The 7,114-nt window shown below is 42.2% G+C and overlaps 1 annotated feature.

Annotated features, from left to right (window-relative positions):
* Nucleotides 2,590-3,090: an enhancer, noted in NCBI's record as "H3K4me1 hESC enhancer chr1:166312727-166313227 (GRCh37/hg19 assembly coordinates)". NCBI's record gives its function as "activates a minimal SCP1, AML or CMV promoter by ChIP-STARR-seq in primed H9 embryonic stem cells {active_cell/tissue: H9 hESC(primed)}" and the evidence as "EXISTENCE:reporter gene assay evidence [ECO:0000049][PMID:30033119]".

Raw genomic sequence — 7,114 nt, forward strand, 5'->3', positions numbered from 1 at the left:
TTGCTGAGTCAAAGGATCTATGTCTTTATAATTTTGATAGATATTGCCAGGTTGCTTTTAATACAGATTTTACCAATTTACATTACCACCAGCTATGCAAGATGAATGTCTGTCTCTCTACATTGTTGCCAACATGTTTCAAAATATTTTGATCTTATATTGTCTAATTGATTTAAAAAGAGATAACAGATTTAATTTTCATTTGTTTTATGAATGAGGTCAAGCATCCTTTTATTTTTAAGAGACACTTGTAATTCACTTTCTGTTTATGTTCTTCATTCTTTTTAAAAACTGGGTTATTGACTTTTTGTGATTGTAGGAGCTCCACAGATACTGGCCTTCTATCTGTGATTTTAATTGGACTTTTATTTTTTAACCAGTTTGTCAATCGCTTCTGACTTTTTAAGTGATATTTTCCCCCAGTATTTAAAAAAAAATTATGTGGAATTTGTCAATCTGCTAAAAAATGTCTTCTCGCTTTTTTTCCCCCTTAGGAAAGATTTTTCTACTTCATTCTGTCTTTTAAATTTTAGTCGATGGCTTGGATATCATTTAGTTTTATTATTATTCTGTTCCAAATTATTAATTTCTGCTTTCATTTATAATGTTTTCTTTCTTACGCTTTATAGTTCTTTCTTTACCTTCTGGAGTTGCTTTATTTTTATTCTTTCATATTTATTAATGCAAGTTTATTTTATGTTATTAAAATATTATATAAGCATTTTTTATTATTATAATTACACATTTTCTTTTGAACACGTCACATAGATTTTGACAACGCTTTGATCATTGTTATTTTGTTGGTAAAATATGCTTTCACTTTCTCTCTTTGAACTAAGCGTTGCATAAGAAAAAGACTTTTCTTCTAATCTTGCTAATAGATTTCTAGTTTTATCACATTGTAATTTGAGGATGTTGACTGTACTGTTCACATTTTGGAACATATTGAGACTTTCTTTGGCCCTAATTGTCAACATTTGTAAATACTTCTTGAGTTTCTAGGGATGTTGAAAAACTATAGTCTCAGTGTGTCCAGAATTGGGTTCTTGGTCTCACTGACTTCAAGAATGAAGCTGTGGACGCGCCCAGTGAGTGTTACAGTTCTTAGAGGTGGCGTGTCTGGAGTTTGTTCCTTCTGATGTTTGGATGTGTTCGGAGTTTCTTCCTTCTGGTGGGTTCGTGGTGTCACTGGCTCAGGAGTGAAGCTGCAGACCTTCGCCATGAGTGTTACAGCTCATAAAAGCAGTGTGGACCCAAAGAGTGAGTAGTAGCAACATTTATTGCAAACAGCTAAACAACAAAGCTTCCACACCGTGGATGGGGACACCAGCGAGTTGCCACTGCTGGCTTGGGCAGCCTTCTTTTATTGCCTTATCTGGCCCCACCCACATCCTGCTGATTGGTCCATTTTACAGAGAGCTGACTGGTCCGTTTTGACAAGGTGCTGATTGGTGCGTTTACAATCCCTGAGCTAGACACAAAAGTTCTCCACGTCCCCACTAGATTAGCTAGATACAGAGTGTGGACACAAAGGTTCTCTAAGTCCCGACCAGAGTAGCTAAGATACAGGGCGTCGATTGGTGCATTCACAAACCCTGAGCTAGACACAGGGTGCTGATTGGTGTGTTTACAAACCTTGAGCTAGATACAGAGTTCGGACTGGTGCATTTACAATCCCTCAGCTAGACATAAAGGTTCTCCAAGCCTCCACCAGAGTAGCTAGATACAGAGTGTCCATTGGTGCATTCACAAACCCTGAGCTAGACACAGGGTGCTGATTGTTGTGTTTACAAACCTTGTGCTAGATACAGAGTGCCGATTGGTGTATTTACAATCCCTTAGCTAGACATAAAGATTCTCCAAGTCCCCACCAGACTCAGAAGCCCAGCTGGCTTCACCCAGTGGATCCTGCACCAGGGCCGCAGGTGGAGCTGCCTGCCAGTCCTGCGCCGTGCACCCACACTCCTCAGCCCTTGGGCAGTGGATGGGACTGGGTGCCCTGGAGCAGGGAGCGTTGGGCTCGTTGGGGAGGCTTGGGCCCCACAGGAGCCCACCACCGCTCGGGGGTGGGGGGTGGGGGGAGGGAGCGGGAGGCGGGGGTGGCGGGGGAGAGTGGGGGCAGGGAGCAAGGTGGCACGGGGGTGGGGGAATGGGGGCGTGGCCGGGAGGCGGGGAGGGCGGGGGCGCGTGGGGGGGGCGGGGGCGCGTGGGGGGAGTGGCGGTGAGGGGGGGTCGGCGGCATGGGGAGTGGGGAGCAGGGGGAGCAGGGGGAGCAGGGGGAGGCTCAGGCATGGCTGGCTGCAGGTCTCGAGCCCTGCCCTGCGGGGAGGCATCTAAGGCCCGGTGAGAAATCGAGCACAGCAGCTGCTGGCCAAGGTGCTAAGCCCCTCACTGCCCGGGGCTTGCAGGCCAGCCGGCCCCTCCGAGTGCGGGGCCGCTGAGCCCACGCCCACCTGCAACTCGGGCTGGCCCACAAGCACTGCGTGCAGCCCCGGTTCCCGCTGGCGCCTCTCCACTGACACCTCCCCGCAAGCTGAGGGAGCCGGCTCCAGCCTGGGCCAGCCCAGGAAGGGGCTCCCACAGTGCAGCTGGGGGCTGAAGGGCTCCTCAAGCGTGGCCAGAGTGGGCGCCAAGGCCGAGGAGGCGCCGAGAGCGAGCGAGGGCCGTGAGGGCTGCCAGCACGCTGTCACCTCTCATCAGTTTTCATGGAGTAGAGTTATGTTTTAGAATTATGTATTATATTTGAGTTTAACATTTGATAGATTATGGATAGATAGATAGATAGATAGATAGATAGATAGATAGATAGTATTGGTCAGAGTTCCCCAGAGAAATAACCAATAGGATGTGTATACATATAATATAGAGAGAAAGATTTACTTTAAATAATTGGCTCATGTGATTGTGGAGGGTAGGCTTGTAGTCTGGAGACCCAGAGAAGAGTTGCAGTTGAGTCCAAAGGCAGTCTGCTGGCAGCATTTCTTCTTGTCTAGAAGAGGTCAGTCTTTTTCTCTGTTAAGGCCTTCATCTGGTTAGATAAGGCCCAGCCTCATTATGGATAAAGTCCACCAATTTAAATTCAATCTCATCCAAAAAACACCTTCAAAGCAATCTCCAGAATAATGTTTGGCCAAATATCTGGGTACCATGGCCCAGCCAAGTTATCAGATAAAAATTAACCATAACAACAATATGTATTATGTTATATAAAATCATTATATATATAGTATATGTATATTTTTAGAGCCGTAAATATTTTGTGCTGGTAATCATTTTTGTGTCTATAATTTTACATACTATACCAATCTTCTATTTCTACAGATAGTCTCTTGATTATCCTTAGTAAGCAAAGAACATCAGCATACTTTTTTCTCTCCTCACTCTTCCTCTTCTACACCATTCAATTTCCATTTGCTATGTAATTTTTCTTAGTGTTTAACTTCCTATTTTTCCAATATATTTATATATATATGGTTTGGTTTAGCAGCTTTGAATAGTGTATTTTTATAAGGAAATCAATACTTACATTATTTGCCACCATTCCTCTTCACTTACCCTCCTAAACTTTGTTAGTTATTTCTTATCTACATTGTAAAGATGCGTAACATTTCCTTGTGTTCTGTAACTATAACATCCGCAGCTGCTTTAGACTGTCTTAAAGTTGCGGATTCAATGCTCATTACTTTCCTTTTGCTGCAGTCTCCCTTAATTTCTTTCTTTTAAACACTTTTTTTTTTTTTTTTTTACAATTTAAACCAGTTTATTATATAATGAGAGCTTGTTGGATTGTAGAAACAAAGTTAAACAAGTTGTGCCATATCAGAGTATAACATTGAACATATCAACTACAGTGTAAACAAAATTTAATCTGAAAATGCAAACGTTTCAGATTATTAAAGCCACATCTGTTTTTTAAAGCACAATTTAGACTTTTTATCAAAAAGCTATGTATATGGCCTAGATGCGGTGGCTCACGCCTATAATTCCAGCAATTTGGGAGACTGAGGCAGACGAATTGCTTGAGACCAGGTGTTTGAGACCAGCCTGGGCAACATGGCAAAACCTTGTCTCTACAAAAATACAAAAATTAGCTGGGCATGGTGGTGCAGCGATTTGGGAGATTGAGGTGGAAGAGTCAATTGAGCCTATGTTGTCTAGGCTTCAGTGAGCCATAATCACACCACTGCACTCCAGCCTGGGCAACAGTATTCTTCTCCACTCTAGTCTCCCTTAATTTCTTAATTGGATCATAAAAGATTTTCCTGCTGTCTTATTACTGGTCACATCTTATCCTCAGGGACTTTGGAAGCACTTATAACTTAACTGTTTTTTGTTTGTTTGTTTGTTTTAATTCATTGCATTAGCCCAATTATCATTTAGCCTGCTCACCATTTAGCCAATTTTTAGTTTTTTCTCTCTTTAGGTGACCCAATATTTTTGCCTAGCTGGATAAAAAAAATTCTTCACTTTGGAGTCTAGTAATTTTACTGGATTTTTTTCTGCTATCGGTCATGGAACAGTTTGTCTTTCAATATGTACAGCCGAAATTTGTTTAATTACTATAAAGATTTATTGAATTACATTTTAAAATGATGTTTTGGTCCTTTTATTTGAACTATATTCATTTGGGTCACATTATGCATGTGTATATATATGTATTTTTTTTTGAGACAGAGTCTTGCCTTGTTGCCCAGGCAGATCGTGCAGTGGTGCCATCTCAGCTCACTGCAACCTCCGCCTCCCGGGTTCAAGTGATTCTCCTGCCTCAACCTCTTGAGCAGCTAGGATTACAGGCATGAACCACCATGCCCCACTAATTTTTGTATTTTTAGTAGAGAGATGCGGTTTCACCATGTTGGTCAGGCTGGTCTCGAACTCCTGACCTTATGATGCACCTGCCTTGGCCTCCCAAAGTGCTGGGATTATAGGCGTGAGCCATTGCGCCCAGGCTGATTTCATTTTTAAAAACTTCCACACTGTTTTGTTTGCTTTCTCTTAGTCCTTTGCTTCTTGTTCTTTGTTATGTTTCCAACAGAGTTTCTTTGCATTTATGGTGCTATCAATTTGCTTTTCAGTTTTTTGATCATTTTCACGTTTTTTCCCCCACCTCATATTTCAACTTCCATTGTCTTGCCACTTCTTCCCTGAAGCCTTTAATCTCTGCCCTAAAGACTTGTTTTGAAGGAAATGGTTACTCCATTATTGTGATTGATTGATTGATTGAGATGGAGTTTCGCTCTTGTTGGCCAGGCTGGAATGCAATGGCGCAATCCTGGCTCACTGTTACCTCCAACTCCTGGGTTCAAGCAATTCTCCTGCCTCAGCCTCCCGAGTAGCTGGGATTACAGACATGTGCCAACATGCCCAGCTAATTTTGTATTTTTAGTAGAGATGGGGTTTCACCATGTTGACCAGGCTGATCTTGAACTCCTGACCTCAAGTGATCCACCCGCCTCAGCCTCCCAAAGTGCTGAGATTGCAGGCGTGAGCCACCGTACCCGGATCATTATTATTTTTAAATTGTGACGTGGTTGTTAAAATTTTCACCTGCCCTGTTGCAACAGTTTTCTTATGCATGTGTTTTCAAGTTGTTTTGCTTTTCCTGTTGCTTTTACCCTTTCTTCTTATAATGCCTTTATTGGTCTTATATGTATTCCTTTAAGTTAATAATCACGTGTGAATTAGGTGAATTGTTTCTGGGTAAGCTATGTGCAGGAAATTTGTGTCTGGGAGGTGCCAGAGCCCTGTGCCAGCCCAGCAGGAATCTTCCTTATGATGGGATTTTGTAAGTGTGTGTTCCTCTCGTCTTCATTCCTCCCCAGCCAAACTAGATTGGCACAGCAGAATATTCCCAATATAGAGTCTCTTTCTTTCTTCCTGTCATCCTGACAGACTGCTTCTTGCAAACATGGTTTGTTTGTGATTCTTCATTCAGCGCCACCTTCCTAGCTTTTCAAGACTTCATACCAAAAAGGGTCAATGGAAAATTTGATTTGCAAACTGTGGTTTTGTACCTTGGGGTATGCTCATGTTTTGAGAACTCCTGTCTGCTAGCTTTGTCTAATTTCTATAACCATGAGCATATTTTCCTGGCCCTTTATGCACCCCTGTGAGATTTTTCTATTATTTGTGAACTTTTTATATTGAGGTTCAGGATTACAGATGTATCCTATTTCATTAAACAGGAGAAATTTGCTTTCTTGTCTGATATTTCAAGGTTTCTCAAGAGAGGGGACCACCATTTCTGCCTCTGCATCAAACCAGAAGTCTGTTCTTCATACCATAGACTTGTATGAATTGGACTTCAGAAGGAGTGGCCCTAGTCAAACTCTGGGATCATCCCCAGTTATCCTTGCCTTCTAATACTCATATCTGTGGTATCCATCTTTTTGAGTGTGGCAAGGCCTATGACTTGGTTTCTACCAAGAGAACATGGCAAAGGTGATGGGATGCTATTTTCAGGATTATGTGACATAAAGCTGTCAAGTTTCATTTTAGAAGACCCTAGATGTATTTGTGGGAGCTAGAAGTGATGTAGTGAATGGCCATGTGTCAAGGACCTGAGGATGGCTTCTAGCTAAAAATGATCTAGGAACTGAGGGTAGCCTCAGGCCAACAGTCGGTGAGAAACTGAGACCTTCATTCTGATTTCTTGTAAGGATCTGAATCCTGCCAACAACCAAGTATACTTGGAAATGGGTCTTTTCCCAATCAAGCTTTCAGATGAGATCACAGCCCAGGAGTAAATCTTAATTGCAGCCTTGCAGAGACTTAGCCAGTCTGTATCTGGATTCCTGACCCACAGAAACTATGAGATAATAAATGAGTGTTGTTTCAGCTGCCATGTTTGTGGTGATATCATCACACATCAGTAGATAACTAATATATCGTGCTAGGGCTATGTTGGAAACTGACTGTAGCCAGCAGTTCTATAGGTTCTGGAAGGACACCACCATATCTGCCCTCATCAGGTTTATCTTTTAGTATTGAAGAATATGAAAATTTTGCAATTGAATATATGTGTGTTCAAATACCAAGCCCAGCTTGGGTTAGGTTGTTATCAGGTCAATTAGGAACTATGTGGCCTAGGATGAGTTGCTTAATCTATCTGGAC

This window comes from Homo sapiens, chromosome 1, assembly GCF_000001405.40.
Source record: "Homo sapiens chromosome 1, GRCh38.p14 Primary Assembly".
NCBI lineage: Eukaryota > Metazoa > Chordata > Mammalia > Primates > Hominidae > Homo > Homo sapiens.